This window comes from Homo sapiens, chromosome Y (genome assembly GCF_000001405.40).
Source record: "Homo sapiens chromosome Y, GRCh38.p14 Primary Assembly".
Taxonomy (NCBI): Eukaryota; Metazoa; Chordata; class Mammalia; order Primates; family Hominidae; genus Homo; species Homo sapiens.
The window spans coordinates 9684923-9705003 of record NC_000024.10 but is presented as its reverse complement, the minus strand read 5'-3'; the positions used below and the strand labels follow the sequence as shown (position 1 = coordinate 9705003).

The 20081-nt window shown below is 44.1% G+C and overlaps 1 long non-coding RNA gene across 1 annotated transcript; it reads right to left on the bottom strand.

Annotated features, from left to right (window-relative positions):
• Nucleotides 1-11304: 11304 nt before the first annotated feature.
• On the bottom strand, nt 11305-13904 carry TTTY8 (testis expressed transcript, Y-linked 8). The gene is made up of 3 exons (NR_001533.1): nt 13769-13904; nt 13087-13291; nt 11305-11494 (listed from the first exon to the last, which is right to left on the bottom strand). It is a non-coding gene; the product is annotated as a testis expressed transcript, Y-linked 8 (long non-coding RNA).
• Between the last annotated feature and the right edge of the window lie 6177 nt (nt 13905-20081).

Here is a 20081-nt window from a genome sequence, read left to right as displayed (position 1 = left end):
TCTTCACCATTTTTACAGGTGAATGTGCAGGAACCTATCTACCCCTCACAAGATCGTATCTTCACACCTGTCTGACCTTATTGCTGCTTGTACTCTCTGTCCAAGAACAAAATCCCAAGATAATGGAGGATTGTGACAAAAAGCACCTGTTCAGCTGGGAATCAAATTCCTGGTAGATTCAAGGGGCCCTGCGGACAGGACTGAAAGTGCCTGTCCCTGGGTTTGCTGCAGAACATGAAACACTGGGAGATGTCTGTTCTAGGGTGTGGTTTGCTATTCCTCTTTCTAGAAGAGTTTTTTGTTTTGTTTTGCTTTGTTTTTTGCAGTGGTACATAATTTAATTTTGGCATGTCTAGCCAATCTCCCAATTCACTGTGGATTCATGATCCACAAAAAAAGAAAGAAAGAAAGAAAGGACATGTAATGCCACAGACCAAGAAGGGCCACACAAACAGGCCACCAAAAGTTTGACAGACTCAAAAATAAGTAGTGCTGAAGTGTAATAGCCACATTCATTTAAGCAGATTCCACTTACAGGCACACACACACACACCCACACACACAAACACAGCCACACCAACATTCGCAACACTCCCACAGAAACACACAGCCAAGCAGCTTCTGAGGCTGCATGGTTCTGCAGGAAGCTCCACCTGAAAGAGACCATCCCTAGGGAACACAGGTGGGCTGAATCTAGAAATCACAGTGGGACAAGTTTCAAAAAGACTAACCAATACAGAGAAATGCAAATCAAAACCACAATGAGATACCATCTCACACCCGTTAGAATGGCAATCATTAAAAAGTCAGGAAACAACAGTTGCTGGAGAGGATGTGGAGAAATAGGAACACTTTTACACTGTTGGTGGGACTGTAAACTAGGTCAACCATTGTGGAAGTCAGTGTGGCGATTCCTCAGGGATCTAGAACTAGAAATACCATTTGACCCAGCCATCCCATTACTGGGTATATACCCAGAGGATTATAAATCATGCTGCTATCAAGACACATGCACCTGTATGTTTATTGCGGCATTATTCAGAATAGCAAAGACTTGGAACCAACCTAAATGTCCAACAATGATAGACTGGATTAAGAAAATGTGGCACATATACACCATGGAATACTATGCAGCCATAAAAAATGATGAGTTCATGTCCTTTGTAGGGACATGGATGAAATTGGAAATCATCATTCTCAGTAAACTATCGCAAGAACAAAAAACCAAACACCGCATATTCTCACTCATAGGTGGGAATTGAACAATGAGATCACATGGACACAGGAAGGGGAATATCACACTCTGGGGACTGTTGTGGGGTGGGGGGAGGGGTGAGGGATAGCATCGGGAGATATACCTAATGCTAGATGACGAGTTAGTGGGTGCAGCACACCAGCATGGCACATGTATACATATGTAACTAACCTGCATAATGTGCACATGTACCCTAAAACTTAAAGTATAAAAAAAAGTTCATATAATAATAGTTATGTAATGGACTCATGAGAATATAATAAAATTAACTGATAAATGTGCTTTATAATATCAAATATTAATTAAATATATAATATAAAAACTGAGAAAAAAAAAGACTAACCAATACAATGTCTAAGAAGGCTTGAGGTCTTTTGCAGATCTTTTTGGATCCTTAGGGATTTCACAGTTTATTCCTGGGGCTTTGCTTGATGTTTCTTCAGGCTGGTTTGCAGCCGGCATCAATCTATTCCACTTTCATTTGGCTATAGCAATGAAAGTCCTTAAATCAGGAGTTTTCCAGGATGGCCTCAATTTGCACTCCAAATCTTCCTTGCACATTGGAGTACTCCCCCTTGAACAGTGGGGCATTGGTGTGAACTGGTTGTGCAATTAAGGGAATGTGGGGATGGAGTTAGAAGCACCTTCTGTATCATCTTTCATTTTTTTTTGCTGGACCGCATCTGCCCCTCACCAGATTGTATCCTCACTCCTATCTGACTTTATTGATTGTCACACTCTATGTCCTACAATGAAATCCCAAGATGATGGAGGGTGCCTTCTCACGACGTGAAGCACCTAGCTGGCTGGGAACCGAATATGAGGTAAATTCAAAAGGCCTGTGGACAAGACTGCTAGTGTGCTCCCTGGGTTTCCTGCAGGACAATGAATCTCTGGGAGAGGTTTGTCTTTTTGGTGTGGTGTGCTCCTCTTACTTCTAGAAGGGTGCCTTTTTTTGCATGGGGAGGTGATTTGGAGGCCAGCCTGTCTCTCAATTCATTTTCAATTAATGAACCACAGAAAAATAAAGAACACTGAGCCCTGCAGCCCAAGCAGAACCACACAGACAGGCCAACAAAAGGTTAGGAGACTCAAAAAAAAAAAAAAAAAAGGAAGGACTGAAGTTCATTAGCCACATTCCTTTAAGCACACTCCACTTACAGGCACACACAGACATACACATACTCACACAAACCCACAATAACACACACACACACACACACACACACACGCAAACATCCAACACTCGCAACTTTGTCACAGAAACACATATCCCGGCAGTTCCTGAGGCTGCATGGTTCTGCAGGAAGCCCCACCTTGGAGAGAGCAACCCTGGGGAACACAGGTGGGATGCACCAAGAAGTCAGAGAGGGCCAAGTTTCAAAAAGAGTCACCCCTACAACATCTAGGCAGGCCTGAGGAAACCTGCAGATCCCTTTGGATCATTACAGATTTCACAGTTTATTCCTGGGCCGGTGCTTGATGTTTCTTCAGGCTGGCTCATGTCTACACCCTCCTAGGATCATGGGACTATCTCAGGGATCCCACAGAGAAGACAGGTGAGAGTCCACGGCCGACGCTCCCCCATGGAGGTTTCCTTCTCTGCCAAGCTGCAGGGACTTGATGCTAGGCAATGGTGAAGTTCACTGTGACACTAGCCATAGCTCACAATTAGGCCTGGTGCCCTGAGACTAGCACATGCGCTTTTGTGAGGCAGGCTTGGGCATCTGTGAGTCATAGCTGTCAGCCTGCCTAAGCAGAGGAAAATGGTACAGCCAGAGCTAGCCTGGTATCAGGAAAAAGGTAGCCTGTGAAAATCCACCGCAGGATCATAAAAGGCTCAACTTTAGGGCCCTTTCAGTGCATCTCCACTGTCAAGTTCTGCTGGAGAAGGAGATGTTTCCAGACTGTGAGGTGGTCACTGGAAACTGCTCTTCTGATTCTATTCTTGAAAGAGACAGTGTGCAAGAATTGGGTCCCACTGGGATTGGAATATTGTCTAGTTTGTTTTTGAGGATACCTTGTGTGACGGAATCATATCTGAGACCCCCGAGGTGGGTGTCAGCAAAAGATGTCCAGGATCTTGACCTCACTTCCTCCCTTTATTCTATGCCTTACAAGGGCTCTTTGGGAAAGGCAGGAACCAGAAAAGAGGCAAGTCCAAGGTGGAGCAGTGTTCTCACACCTCAGACAGGCCACTCAAGGGTGCAGATGAGGTTGAGACAGGGTCTCAGTGGCAGTCTGTGGTGATGGCAAGCCGAAAAAAGGTGTCCAGCGGTGCTGTTGAGGCACATTGTGGATTCCCTATGAAAACAAACAAACAAAAAATCAAGGCTCACCTGAGAGAACTGGCTGCCTTGTGCTGGAGTCCAAGCAATGTTCAATTCTTCCTGTCAGAGGACCCAACACCCTCAGGCAAAGTGCAAACCACCTCATCCCACACAACCAGAAAACAACCCACAACCTAAAGCACAGCCAGCCTACATGAAGTCCCTTTTGCTCTCTTAAATAGCTGGCAACTAAATAATCTGTGGTGAGAGGCAGTCCCATCCAACAAAAGCCCAGTGAAAGAGACCATCCACACTGAGGAGGCCATGCAGATAAAATAAAACAGAGGCAAGGCTGCCAGGCAAAAGCTAGACATGGCTGCCTGCTTCTCATCCTGCAGGAATCAAGCAGCCCCCTAACAGAAGTGGGAGAACAAGAGTTTCCTTGTTAGTGGCTGTAACGGGAATTCATGGTTTTAAATATGTCAAAGCTGCCAAGTCATTAAAATGTGACAGTGTTTAGAAGGAAATGCTAATGCAATGGATTCCATAAGCGCCTCTCTCCATGAACTGGGAAATGTTTAATGTGGAAGTCCTTGAGCCAGACACAGGAAACACTAGGCCGATGAGGTGGAGGCCCACATTCTATCCAGCATCAATCCATTCCACTCACATTTGGCTCTGAATATGAAAGCCCTCAAATCAGCAGTTTGTCAGGATATCCCGAATTTGCAGTCCAGATGTTTTGTGCACATTGGAGTCCTCCCACTTCAACACTGCACCTTGGTGGGGACTGCTTGTGCAATTAAGGGAATGAGGGGATGAAGTTTGAAACACCTTCTGTGTCATCTGTCTTCATTTTTATTGCAGGTGAAGTTGCAGGACCCATTCACTTCTCACCAGATTGGATCCTCCACCCTACCTGACCTTATTGCTGCTCACACTCTATGTTCCAGGATGAAGTCCCAAGACGATGGAGGAGTGCCCCCTCACAGCATGAAGCACCTCCTAGGCTGTCAACCGAATTCAAGGTAAATACAAGGGGCTCTGCGGACAGGACTGCTAGTGTCTCTACCTGGGTTGGCTACAGGACAATGAAACACTGGAAGATGTTTGTTTTTCAGTGTAGTGTGCTCCTCTTCTTTCTAGAAGAGTGGCTTTTTTTTTTTGCAGGGGGAGGTGATTTGGATGGCGGTGGGATTTGGCAAGCTTCTAATTCACTGCGGATTCATGATCCGCAGATCAATAAAGAAAACACAGCCCAAGCAGACCCAACAAACAGTCCACCAAAAGGTGTTGAGACTCAAGAAAAGTAGCGCTGAAGTGGATTAGCCACATTTCTTTAAGCAGACTCCACTTACAGGCACAAACACACACACACACACAGACAACACAAACACGCTGTGCCACACACACACGCAGACATCCAACATTTGCAACACTCCCACAGAAACACACAGTGAGGCAGCTCTAGAGGCTGTGTCATTCTGTAGGAAGCCCCACCTAAGAGAGAGCAACCCCAGGGAACACAGGTGGGCTGCACCTAGAAATCACAGCGGGGAAAGTTTCAAAAACACTCACCCCTACAATGTGTAGGCAGGCCTGAATAATCCTTCTGATATTTTTGGACGCTCAGGGATTTTGTGGTTTATTCCTGGGGCTGTGCTTGACATTTCTTCAGGCTGGCTCCCACTTGCCCTCTCCCAGGATTATGGAACTATCCCATGGATCCACAGAAAAGACAGGCAAGAGTCCCCTGTGGATGCACTTCCACAGAGGCCTCCTGCATTGCCAAGATGCAGGAACTTTTTGCTAGACAATGGTGACATTAATTGTGACGCTAGCCAGAGCTCACAATCAGGAATGGTGCCCTGAAACCAGCTTATATGCATTCATGAATCAGGCTCGGGCACCCAGCTGTCAGAGCTGTCAGCCTTCCTAAGCCAAGTAAAATACTACAGGCAGAGTTGTCCTGGTATCATGAAAAGGGAGGCCTGCAAAACCCACTATGAGAACCTAAAAGTCTTGACCTCAGCTCCCCTTCAGGCCATCTCTGTGGTCAGGTCCCACCAAAGGAGGAAGAATATCAATACTGTGAGGTGGTCTGTGGAAACTACTTTTCTGTCTCCCTTTTTGAAAGAGGCTGTGTGAAAGAATTATGTCCCGTGGACATTGGAATAAAGTCTAGTATGTTTTTGATGGTTCTTTGGATGATAGAATCATACCTGAAACCCCAGGGCCTGGTGTCAGTGAAAGATGGCCAGGACCTTGACCTCACTGCCTCCCTTCATCCTGAGCCTTGCAGAGCCTCTGTGGGAAAGCAGGAGCCACAGCAAAGGAAAGTCCAAGGTGGAGCCCTACTCTCAGGCCTTGGACTGGCCACTCACAGGTGAAGACAAGGTTGAGACCAGTGTCTCAGAGGCCATCTGTGATGATGGCATGCCTAAAAAGGGTGTCCAGTAGTGCTGCTAAGGGGCACTGTGGATTCCCCATGAAAGCAAAGAAAAATTAAGGCTCACCTGAGAGAATGAGCTGCCTTGCGCTGGAGTCCAAGCAATGTTCAGTGATTCCTGTCAGAGGACCCAAAAACCTCCTGCAAACTGCAAGCAAACTTAGCCCCCAAAATAAGACCATGAACCACAAACTTGAGTGCAACCAGTCTCTGCAAAGTCACTTTTGCTCTCTGAAATCCCTGTTAGCAAAATAATCTGTGGCAAGAGGCAGTCCCATCCAGCAAGAGCTCAATGAAAGAACCCCTCCGCAGTGAGAAGGCTATGCAGATGAAATGAAACAGAGGCTAGATTGCCAGGCAAAAACCCATACATGGCTGCCTGCTTCTCATCCTACAATAATCATGCAGCCCTCCAATAGAAGTGGGAGAACAAGTGTTTTCTTATTGGTGGCTGTAACAAGAATTTACTGTCTTAAAAGTATTAAAGCTTCCCAGTCATTAAAATATGACAATGTTTAGAAGGAAACAATCACACAGTGGATTCCCATGATGGTCGTTCTCCATGAACTGGGTAACGTTTAGTGTGGAAGTCATTGAGCCATACCCAGGAAACCCTAGCCTGATGAGGAACATGAAAATCAGGAAACTAAGAGGGAAGTCTGGAGGCCATATCATACCCAGCATCAATCCAGTCCACTCCCATTTGGCTCCGGGTATGAAAGCTTTCAAATCTGGAGTTTGCCAGGGTTGCCCCAATTTGCACCCCAAATGTTCCTTGCACTGTGAAGTACTCCCATCTGAACATACAGTGATGGAGTTTGAAGCACCTTCTGTTTCATTTGTCTTCATTTTTCTGCAGGTGAGGTTGTGGGACCCTATCCACCGCTCACCAGATTGTATCCTCACACCTATCTGACCTCATTGCGGCTCACACTCTATGTCCCAGGATGAAATCCCAAGAAAATAGAGGAGTAACCCCTCATGATGTGAAGCACCTGCTCAGCTGGGAATTGAATTTGAGGTAAATTCATGGAGACCTGAGGACAAGACTGCTAGTGTGTCTCCCTGATTTGGCCACAGGAAAATGAAACACCGGGAGATATCTGCTTTTTGGTGAAAGAATCTGATTTCCTGGGTATTGGAATGTAGTCTGGTGTGTTGATTAGTGTTCTTTGGGTGACAGAATCACACCTGAGACCCCAGAGATGGGTTCCAGTTGAAGATGGCTGGACTCTAGATCTCACTGCCTACCTTTATTTTGGGCCTCGCAAGGGCTCTCTGGGACAGACCGGAACCACAACAAAGTCAAGTGTATGATTGAGGAGTGTTCTTGCACCTCAGACTTTCCACTATTGGGTGCAGATGAGGTTGAGTCAGTATCTCAGAAACGATGTGTGGTGATGGCAAGCCTGAAAAGGGTGTCCAGTAGCACTGTTGAAGGGCACTGTGGATTCACCCAATAAACCAAAAAAAAAAAAAAAAATTGGCTCACATGAGAGAATGTGCTGCCTCATGCTGAAATTTAAGCAATGTTCAATAATTCCTGCCAGAGGACCCAAAAGCCTCCTGCAAAGTGCAAGCAACCTCAGCCCCCATGAAGAGACAATTATGCACAACCTGGAGCACAGCGATTTTTCCTAAAGTCCCTTTTGCTGTGTGAAATCCTTGGCAGCTAAATAATCTGTGTAAGGCAGTCCCATCCAGCATCATCCCAACAAAGAGTACCTCTACAATGAGAATGCCATGCAAAAGAAATGAAACTGAGGCTCTATTACCAGGCAAATCCAGACATGGCTGCCTGCTTCTCATCCTACAGAAATCATGTGGCTTTCTGATAGAAGTGGGACAAGACTTTCCTTCTTGGTGGCTGTAATGGGAATTTATGGTTCTAAAAGTATTAAAGCTGCACAGTTATTCAAACCTGAGAGTGTTTAGAAGGAAACACTCATGCAATGGATTCCCATGAGGATCATTTTCCATGAACAGAGAAACATTTAGTATGGAAGTCATTGAGCCATACCCAGGAACCCCTAGGCTGATAAGGAACATAAAATCAAAAAAGGAGAGGCAAGTGTGGAGGCCACATCTTACCCATTATCAATCCTTTCCACTCCCATTTAGCTCCGGGTATGAAAACCCTCAAAACAGGAGTTTGCCAGTGTGACCCCAGTTGGCACTCCAAATATTTCTTGCCCATTGAAAATACTCTTACCAGAGCACCAGGCAATGGTGTGGACTGCTTGTGCAATTAAGGGAATGCTGGAATATATTTGGAAGCACCTTCTCTGTCATCTGTCTTCATTTTGTATTTTTGCAGGTGAAGTTGAAGGACACCATCCACCCCTCAGCAGATTATATCCTTTCCCATCTGACCCTATTTCTACTCACACTCTGTGTCCCAAGATGAAATCACAAGATGATGGAGAACTGCCCTCTCACGATGTGAAGCATCTGCTCAGCAGAGAACCAATTTGAGGTAAATTCAAGGGGCCCTTTGGACAAGATTGCTAGTGTCTCTCCCTAGTTTGGCCACAGTACAATCAAACTCTAGGAGATGCCTGCTTTTTTGATTTCATGTGCCCCTCTTCTATCAAGAAGAGTGGCTTTTTTTGCATGGGTGGGGGTGATTCGGACACCACCGCATCCCAGCCCACCTCCCAATTCACTGAGGATTCATGATATATGGAAGAATAAAGAACACAGAGCCCCACAGCCAAAGAAGAGACATCCAGACAGGCCATCAAAAGTGGTGAGGCTCAAAAAAAAAAAAAATCACTGAAGTGCATTAGCCACATTCCTTTAAGCAGGCTCCACTCCACTTACAGGCACACACACACACACATGCAGAAATCAAGCACTCACAACATTCCCTCAGAAACACACAGCCCAGCAGCTCCTGCGGTTGTGTGGTTTTGCGGGAAGCCCCACCTGGGAGAGAGCAACCCCAGGGAACAAAGGCAGGCTATACCTAGAAATCACAGTGGGGCCAGTTTGAAAAAGACTCACCCCCTACAACATCTAGGCAGGCCTAAGGAATCCTGCAGATTATTTTGGATCCTCAGGGATTTGCAGTTTATTTCTGGGGCTCTGCTTGATATTATTTCAGGCTGGCTCATATCTGCCCTCTCCTTGGATCATGGGACTATCCTGTCGATTCCACAGGGAAGACATGGGACAGTCCACCGAAGACACACATCCACGGAGGTCCCTTTATCTGCCAAGCCACAGGGACTTGTTGCTAGGCAACGGTGGCATTCACTGTGAGGCTAGCCAGAGCTCACAATCAGGCCTGGTGCTTTTAGACTAGGGTATGCACATTGTCAGGCAGGCCCAGATGCCCGGCTTTCAGAGCTGTCAATGGGCTTAAGCAGAGGAAAATGGTACAGGCAGAGCCAGCCTGGTATTGAGAAAAAGGCTGCCTATGAAAACCCACTTTGGGATCATAAAAGTCTCAACCTCAAGGCCTCTTTGGGGCATCTCCGTGGTCAGGTCCCACTGGAGGAAGAGGTGTTTCAAGACTGTGAGGTCATCGCCAGAAACTTATCTTCTGCCTCCATTTCAGAAAGAGGCTGTGTGCAAGAATTGGGTCCCACGGGTCTGGAATATTGTCTGGTGTGTTGTTGAGGGTTTGTTGGGTGACAGAATCATGCCTGAGACCCCAGACATTGGTGTCAGTGAAAGATGGCCAGGCTCTTGACCTCCCCCTCTCCCTTCATCCTGGGCCTTGCAGGGGCTCTCGGGGAAAGGCAGGAGTTACAAAGGCAAGTCCAAGGTGATGCAGTGTCCTCACACCTCTGACTGGCCTCACATGGTTGCAGATGAGGTTGAGATAGTGTCTCAGAGGCCAACTGTGGTGATAGCAAGCCTGAAAAAGGTGTCCAGTACATTGTGCTGGAGTTGAAGCATTGTTCAATGATCCTTTTCAGAGGACCCAAAAGCCCCTTCTGAAGTGCATACAACCTCAGCTCCCGCAATGAGACAATTACCCACAACCTGGGGAGCAGACTCTAGACCTCACTGAGTCCCTTCATCCTGTGCCTCACAGGGGCTCTCTGAGACAGACAGAAACCACGGCAAAGGTAAGTCCAAGGGGAAGCAGCATTCTCACACCTGGGACTGGCCTCTCACGTGTGCAGATGAGGTTGAGACAGTGTCTCAGAGGCCATCTGTGGTGATGGCAAGACTGAAGAATGTGTCCAGTAGTGCTTTTGAGGGGCACTGTGGATTCCCCATGAAAACAGAAAAACTAAGGCTTGACTCAGAAAAATAGCTGCTTTGAGCTGGAGTCCAAGCAATGTTCAATGATTCCTGTTAGAGGACCCAGAAGCCTCCTGCAAAGTGCAAAAAAACCTCAGTCCCCATAACAAGACAATGACCCACAACCTGGAGCACATCCAGCCTACCCAAAGTCCCTTTTGCTTTCTGAAATTTCTGGCAGCAAAATAATCTGTTGTGAGAGGCCATCCCTTCCAGCAACAGCCCAGTGATAGAGCTCCTCCACAATGAGAAGGTCATGCAGTTGAAATGAAACTGAGGCTAGATTCCCAGGCAAAAGCCAGACTTGGGTGTCAGCTTCTCATCCTATGGGAATCATGCAGCCCTCCAATAGAAGTGAAAGATCAAGAGGTTTCTTGTTGGCAGCTGTAATGGGAATTTACAATTTTAAAAGTATCAAACTTGCCTAGTCATTAAAATGTGACAGTTTTTAGAAGAAAACACTCAGGCAATGCATTCCCATGAGGGTCACACTTTGGGAACTGAGAAACATTTAGTGTGGAAGTTGTTGAGCCAGACCAAGGAAGCCCTAGGCCAATGTGGAATATGGAAGTCAGAAAAAGAAGAGGCAAGTGTAGATGCCACATGCCACCCAGCATCAATCAATTCCACTCCGATTTGCCTCTGGGTATGAAAAACCTCAAATCAAGAGTTTGCCAGGAGGGCCCCAATTTTCATTCCAAATGTTGCTTACATAATGAAGTACTCCCACCTGAACACTGGGCCATGGTGTGGACTGCTTGTGCAATTAAGGGAATGCTGGGATGGAGTTGGAAGCACCTGCTATGTCATCTGTCTTCATTTACTAATTAATTAATTAATTTATTTATTTTTGCAGGCAAAGTTGCTGGACCCAGTTCACCCCTCACAAGATTGTATCCTCACTCCTCTCTGACCTTATTGTGGCTCATACTCTATGTCCCAGAATGAAATCCCAAGATGATGGAAAAATATCCCTTCATGATGTGAAGCACCTGCTCAGCAATGAAATGAATTTGAGGTAAATTCAAGGGGCAACCAGAAGTTTGGAAGACTCAAAAAAAGAAGCACTGAAGTGCATTATCCACAGTCCTTTAAGCAGACTCCAGTTAAAGGCAAACACACACACACTCACACACACACACACACACACCCCTAAGCACACAATGGCACACACACATGCAGACATCCAACACTCACAACATTTTCACAGAAACAAGCAGCCTGGTAGCTCCTGAGTTTGGTTGGTTCTTCAGGAAGACCCACCTAGGAGAGAGCAACACCAGAGAATACAGTCAGGGTGTACCTAGAAATCACAGTGGGGCAAGTTTCAAAACTACTCACCCCCACAACATCTAGGCAGACCTGAGGAGACTTGCAGATCTTTTTGATCATTAAGGATTTCACGGTTTATTCCTGGAGCAGAGCCAGCCTAGTACTGGGGAAAATGCTGCCTCAGAAAACTCACTATCAGACCATAAAAGTCTTCACCTCAGGCCCCCTTTGGGCTGTCTCCGTGGTTGGGTCTCGCTGGAGGAAGAGGCATTTTGAGACTGCGAGGTGATCATTGGAAACTGCTCTTCTGGCTCCATTCCAGAAAGAAACTGTGTGCAAGAGTCAGATCCCATGGGGATTGGAATATAGCCTGGTAGGTTGTTTAGAATTTTTGGGTGATAGATTTATACCTGAAACCTGAGACCACAGAGCCAGGTGTCAGTGAAAGATAGCCAAGCTCTTGACCTCACTGCTTCCCTTTATCTTGACCTCACTGGGGCTTTCTGGGAAAGGCAGAATCCAAGACAAAGTTAAGACTAAGGTATTACAGTATTCCCACACCTCAGACTGGCCTCTCACGGGTGCAGATAAGGTTGAGACAGTGTCTTAGAGGCCCTCTGTGGTGATGGCAAGCCTGAAAAGGGTGTCCAGTAGTGCTGATGAGGGGCACTGTGGATTCCCCAAGAAAGCAAAGAACAATCAAGGCTCACCTGAGAAAATGAGTGCCTTTTGCTGGAGTATAAGCAATGTTCAATGATTCTTGTCAGAGGACTCAAATCTTGCAAAGTGCAAACAACCTCAGCCCGCACAATGATGCAATCACCCACAACCTGGAGTGCAACCAGCCTACCCAAAGTCCCTTTTGCACTTTGAAATCCCTGACAGCTAAATAATTTGTGGAGAGAGGTAGTCACATCTGGCAATAGCCCAATGAAATTGTCTCTCCACAATGAGAAAGGATATGCAGATACAATGAAACACATCCTAGATTACCAAGCAAAAGCCAGACACACCGGCCTCCTTCTCATGCTCCAGGAATACACTGTCCTCTGATAAAAGTTGGAGAGCAACAGTTTCTTTTCCCACAACTGTAATGGGAATTTATGGTTTTACATATATCAAAGCAGCCCAGTCATTAAAATGTGACAGTGTTTGTAAGGAAACATTCGTGCAACGGATTCCCATGAGTGTCATCCTCTGTGAACTAGGAAACATTTAGTGTGCAAGACATTTAGCCAGACCCAGGAAACCCTAGGCAGATGGGGAACATGGAAGTCAGGAAAAGAAGAGGCAAGTGTGGAGGCCACATCCCACCCAGCATCAATCCATCCCACTCCCATTCGGCTATCATAATGAATCTGGGGTTTGCCCAGATGGCCCCAGTTTGCACTCCAAATGTTCCTTTCATGTTGGAGTACTCCCAGATGAACATGGGGCCATGGTGTGCGCTGCTGATGCAATTAAGGGAATGCAGCGATGGAGTTTGAAGCAACTTCTGTTTCATCTGTCTTCACCTTTTTTGCAGTTGAAGGTGCTGGACCCCATACACCCCTCACCAGACAGTGTCCTAACCCCTCTCTTACCTTATTGCTGCTCACACCCTCTTTGCCAGAATGAAATTCCAAGAAAATGGAGTGTCCCCTGTTGACTTTAAGCACCTGCTCGGCTGGGGATGGAATTCAATGTAAATTCAAGGGGTCCTGCAGAGAAGACTGCTAGTGTCTCTCCTTGGGTTAGCGTGAAACACTGAGAGATGTTGGTCTTGGGTATGACGTGCTGCTCTTCTTTCTGGAAAAGTAAATTTTTTTCAGGGGGAGGTGATTTGGACTCTGGCTCATCTTGGTCAGACTCCTAATTCACTACAGATTCATGATCCACAGAAAAATAAAGAACACGGAGCCTTGCATCCCAAGCAGAACCACACACACAGGCAAACAAATGTTAGGTTACTCAAAAAAAAAAAAAAAGGAAGAAGAAGTGCTGCAATGCATTGCCCACATTATTTTAAGCAGACTCCACTAACAGGCACACACTCCCACACACACACCCACAAATACACAAAGCCACACACACAAGCAGACATCCACTACTAGCAGCACTCCCACAGAAACAGCAAGCCAGCTTCTGAGGCTGCATGGTTCTGCAGGCAGACACATCTGGGAAACAGCTACCCTAGGGAACACAGGTGGGCTATATGTAGTAATCATTTTGAGACAAGTTTTAAAAAGAGTAACCCCTGAAACATGTAACCAGGCTGGAGGCAACCTGCATATCCTTTTGGATCCTTAGGGATTTCACGGTTCATTCCTGGAACTCTCCTTGATGTTCCTTCGGGCTGGCTCACATCTACCATCTACTAGAATCATGGCACTGTCCTGTGTATCCCACAGAAAAGACAGGCAAGAGTCCACCACTGACACACCTCCACAGAGGTCTCATTCTCCACAAAGGTGCAGGGACTTGTCGCTAGGCAATGGTTCCATTTATTGTGACACTAGCCAGAGCTCACTGCTCAGACCTGGTGCTTTAAGACTAGCTCATGCACATTCATGAGACAGGATCAGGTGCCTGCCTGTCAGAGCCATCAGCTGCCTAAGCAGAGGAAAATGGTACAGGCAGAGCCGTCCTGGTATTGAGAAAAAGGTTGCCTGCATGACCCTAAAAGTCTCAAACTTATTGCCCCATCGTGTCGTCTTGGTGGTGGAGTTCTGGTGGAAGAGGAGGTATTTAGAAGCTATGAGGTGGTCACTGGAAACTGTTGTTCTGACTCCATTCCTGAAAGAGACCATGTGCAAGAACCAGGTCCCATGGGGATTGGGACAGGGGCCAGTGAGTTGTTGAGGGTTCTTTATGTGATGGAATCACACCTGAGACCCCAGAGGCAGGTGTCTGCAAAAGATGGCTGGGCTCTTGACCTCACTGCCTCCCTTCATCCTGGGCCTTGCAGGGGCTCTCTGGGAAAGGCAAGAACCACTACAAAGGCAATTTCAAGGTGGAGCAGTGTTCTCTCACCTCGAACTGGCCTTGCCTATAGGCAGATGAAGTTGTGACAGTGTCTCAGAGGCCATCTGTGGCAATTGCAAACCTGAAAATGGTGTCCAGTAGTTCAGTTGATGGGCAATGTGGAATCCCTAGGAAAGCCAAGAAAAATCAATGCTTACCTGAGAGAACAAGCTGCAAAATGCTGGAGTCAAAGCAATGTTCAATGATTCTTGTCAGAGGACTCAAAATCCTCCTGCAAACTGCAAAAATCTTCACCCCCAACAATGCAACCATGACCCACAACCTGGAGCTCAGCCAGTCTCTCTGAAGTCTTCTTTGCTGTCTGAAATTCCTTGCAGTCAAAAGACCTGCAGTGAGAGGGAGTCCCATCCAGCAACAGCCCATTGAAAGAGACCCGTGACAATATGAAAAGACGTGCAGATGAAACGAAACAGAGCCAAGATTACCAGGCAAATATTAGACACAGTTGCCTGCTTCTCATTCCATATGAATCAAGCCACCCTCCGATAGAAGTGGGAAAACAAGAGTTTCCCTGTTGGCAGCTCTAAAGGAATTTACAGTTTTAAAAATATTAAAGCTGCCAAGTCATTAAAATGTGACAGTGTTTAGAAGAAAACAATCACACAATGGATTCCTATGAGGGTCATCCTTTGTGAACTGGGAGATGTTTAGTATGGAAGACAATGAGCCAGACCAAGGAAACCCTAATTCAATGAGGAAGATCGAAGTCAGAAAAAAAAAGAGCAACTGTGGAGGCCACATCCCACCCAGCATCAATCCATCCCACTCCCATTTGGCCCGGTGTTTGAAAGCCCTCTAAGTGCACAGCCCCAGTTTGTACTCTACATGTTCATGGCATGTTGGAGAACTCCCACTTGAACACCGGGCCCTGGTGTGCATGGCTTGTGCAATTAAGAGGATGTGGTAATGCAGTTGCAAGGAACTTCTGTGTCATCTGTCTTCACCTTTTTTGCAGGTGCACTTGCGGGACACAATCCACACCTCACCAGATTGTGTCCTCTTCTCTATCTGACCTTATAGCTGCTCACACTCTCTGTCCCAGAATGAAAGCCCAAGATGATGGAGTAGTGCTCCCTCATGACATAAAGCACCTGCTTGGCTGGTCTCATGTATTGATTAATCATACCTATAATTGTTAACATTCATTGTGAAACATAATGTTTCATTTTTCTTCCTTATTCTCCACCATTTGTTTTCTTCTCAGATTAGTTATAGTTTGTAAATTATTTTGTCAAACATATGCAATAAGGTAACACCGCAGTATTGCAGAATACACTGCATTGGAAACAGATTCATATTGGAATGGGAAAACATCCCTTATTACCTGCAGCTGGGAGATCAATAAGGATGGGATCTGGGGTTCTGACCCCAGGTACCATCTATGGGTGAATGCTTACACTTCTTGAATCCCTAGCGGGCATGTGTTACACGGTGCTAATTTAGTTTATCCATCTGTAGGCTACTAGTGTTAATTCAATTAGACACCCTGCCTTACTGCAAGGACAGAGGGCTTTCCACATCCTGAGCTTATCTGCTTTGCTGTACCTGAAAAATTGGCTCACACATGGGCTTGGAGAATAAGTGCAAGGTTTCATTGATTGGAAGTGCTCAGCATATGGATGGGGAGCCAGAATGGAGATGGAGTGGGAACGTGGTTTTCCCTTGGAATGGGACAGCTCAGAGCTGTCCTCCCACATCCCCATGAAACCTTGTGTTCTGTGGTGAGTGGCCTGCTGCCTCAGTCGTTGTGTTCTCCTTGCTCTGGTGTCCTCTCGAGGTCCAGTTGCTGTGTCTTCTTGTGCTAATGGTTCCTCTCGATGTCCAGCTGCTGTGTATCTGCCTGCTAGTGTCTCAGGGTTTCTTATAGCACAGGATGGGGGTATGGCAGGCCAGGGTGGTCTTGGAAAATGCAGCACTTGGGCAAAAAAACAGAAACACATGTCCTCACCAACTGGGGCAAGAAAATAGAAGTGTGTGTCCTCACCTAGGTCAGTGAGCACAGGCGTGATGGTGGATCCCTAGCCAAGAACCACACCCTCCTCTACCAGGCACTTCCCTGCCCTCCTTCCATATCATTATATTTTAAAATTTAAAACTCCAAAATAGCACCTTTAGAGAAGACAATTGGAGAAAATGGCATTAGAAGAGCCAGTCTAGGATTAGGCTCGCTGAATGCAAAATGGAAACACAGATAGCATGTCCGGCAGGCATGGAATCACTGCAGAAACATATCTCTTACTGAGAAGGAAAAGGAAACAAACTGGCTTCTCTCATCTTCTTGTTCTCTTATCTCTGCAGTGTCACCCCTTGACTGAACTGAAAGAGGAAGTAATTTTTATGGGAGCCTAGGATCCCTACCTCCCAGAGGCCAGGCCTCTCTATTACAGAACAGTGCCAGGGAGACGTGAGTGATGTAGCTGTGGGCATGCAAACCCAGGGCCTCACACAAAGGAGTATCAAAGACAAATACAGTATCAAGGGATGAAGAGAGAATTACTCTCAGGAATGATTCATGCTTGATATTTGTGAAAAGACCAAAAAGTAAAACAGCTTATGAGGTAGTAAACATAAAAAGAACATAAAGAAAAGCAGGCAAAAATGGTAAAGTCCAGGCTATTTACCTTTCCTTTATAGGATTTTGAAAATCCCTTCTGGAATCCTTTTCCCAATATCTTCCATTCATGGATTCTTTCAGGAAATATTTATTGAGCTAGAATGGTCTAAGCATTCGGCAGATGGCATCATATACACTGTTGTACTTCTATCATTGATAGAAAGAATGTTTCTTTTTTTCTACAATGCTTTTCTCCCAAACATTCTTCTTGAAAATTTGTGTCCTTACAGATGCTGTCAGTTGTTCCTGTTCTAAGAAGGTTCCCCACACCCCTGTAAACCCAGTTAAGAACTTTCTTCCTCTCCAACTAAGTTACTATATTGCATATATTGTAACACTGGTCAGAGTACATTCCAATTATTGCTCTTCTCTTCATTCTTAAATTAATATTTTGAAGGAAAATCTATGAACACAATGGCTTGACATTTCTCAATATTTATTGTATAAAAGGTTATTAGATATTTATATAAATATTTATCTTAATTTTTGGAAAACAAAATAAACAATGTTCACTACCCAATCCCCCATGAACTGCTCAACTTTAAACAATGTCTAGGATTTTAGAGCAATTATACAAACTTTCAAAAAACACCTGAAAGTGTTTCTATTTTAATTTATTTTGCTTTTTATATTGAATTATTTTGTAGAGACAAAGTCTTGCCTCAAGGCCCAGGCTGAAGTGCAGTGTGTGATCACTGCTAACTACAACTGTGAACTCCTGAGTAAATAGATTAGGCCATCATGCCCAATTTAACCAATTAAATAAGTAGTTACACTTTAGATATAGTTTTTGCTGTGTAGCCTGTGCTGATGTCAAACTCTGGGTTTGAAGCAATCCTCCCTTCTCCGCCTTCCAGAGAGTTGTGATTCCAGGTGTGAACCACCAGACTTCAAAGAGGAAATTTTAGAGTTTAGAATATTGCAATATATTAGACTTAATTTCTTCTTTCAACTTTACATTTGCAGTGGCACTTCATAATAATTATTACTTATGGTGAGAATGTGATTTCTTATATTTGGTCACCAAATTTTGAAATCTTTATTCTGTTTACTTAAACCCTAATAACTTGTAGTCAACTGAGCTGAAAGTCAAGTACATGGGTGTTTTTTTTTTTTTGCTGAGGCTGTGAAAACAAATGTAGAGATGCATTAAAAACCAAAGACTTTATATATATATATATAGTCTTTATATATATAGTTTTTATATATATATAAAGTCTTTATGCTTTATATATATATAGTCTTTATATATATATAAAGTCTTTATGTGTATATGCAGTCTTTATACATACATAAAGACTTTATAGATATACAGTCTTTAGCATATATATGTGTGTACATATACATGTGTGTGTGTACATATATGTGTGTGTGTACACATATATATATATGCTAAATGTGTGTATAGCATATATATATATATATATATATATATATATATATATATATATACACACATACATATATATATGCTAAAGCTTTATCCTGGCTGGTGAAGCATCATACATGGCATGGATAGTTTTATAAAATACCCTGAAATACATGCTTTAGTAAGCAATTTAGCACTTGCAATTTCCCAACTTTGCTTTCAGCAGAAGTTAATGATGTATGTCACTTCAAGTAAGTAAATGAATGTTTGAATTGCTGTGAGTTATTTTACTCGTTTCTCAGCTAACCACTTAACTTATCAAAGATCTTTACTTGTACAATATCATAAATGATAGATATTAAAAATTAATCAACAGGATTTATCTAACTAAAAGCTGCCATCTAATATGATATTTTTCAGTAAGATGATAGCAGTAATTATGCCAAAAAAATAGTAATTCCCCTAGTTTGAGCGATTGTAGCAATTTCCAACCAAAGATTTCACAGGCAGGGTCCAGATCTGGGCAACAGTTATTAACATAATGGTTATTGTTGAGAATAAATTTTGATACATCTATCTGTGCTTGAATGTCAGTGCTTTGAAGGGACAGGTTTGGCATATTAATAAGAAAGGGTGCATTGGACTGAATACTAAGAAATGAATTGTTTTTCTTATCTTCTATAACATGAAAGGTCAATTTGAGATATAGAAACGCTGGAACATTTCACAGCATGGCCTGACATTTCACTGCATTTTTATTTTTTTAACCATGTACAAAGTTCATTAATTACACAAAGGTAGGACTGCTATAGGATGAAAGTGGTGGAGTCAGAGGTCACAGTCCAAACCAAGGTGATAGTCTCTTGAGGATGACACCCTGAGTGCTGAATTAGGGTGAGAATCAACTTTCAGCTGTTAACAGGGGACAAGGAGAATAAAGTTATCAGCAGTTAATATTATTGGATTAACTGAAATAAATGTTGACAGAGATTTTGTTGGCTTTACATCAAATTGAGTATAGTACTTCAAACTGAGTATTTGATGAAGGTAAAGTCTTATCAAGTTTCCCACATGTAAAATTGAGAATTAATTGAAAGATTACACAACCCACACATTATGGGTGTCTCTTATAAATTTATGTGCACATGTGCAAACTTGCAGTGTGCAAATATTTGTCTATATATAAATATATCCAAATCCATTGATGAACAGTTAGAAATTTAGAAATTATTCTCCTGTTTTATCATTCCCTTTCCTAGAATTTTGTCACAGATATAATTTTTCCATCTGTTTGGAGCCTACTCTCTGGAGGTATGTAATGTGTGGAGACAGTAACGCCCTGAGATGTCACAGGGTTTGTATCAGAGAAAATAACAACACTGGTGCTACAAAAGATCCATTGTGAGGAGAAAGATATATTTAACATGATTACAAATACAGAAGTATTATTTCATCAAAAGCTGATATCAGTGAATACAATTTGTTTTTAATGTTTTATTTAAAATATTTAATATCAGAAGAATGTCTTGAGTAGAATAATGATATTGGTAAGAAATAATGATTCAGAATTT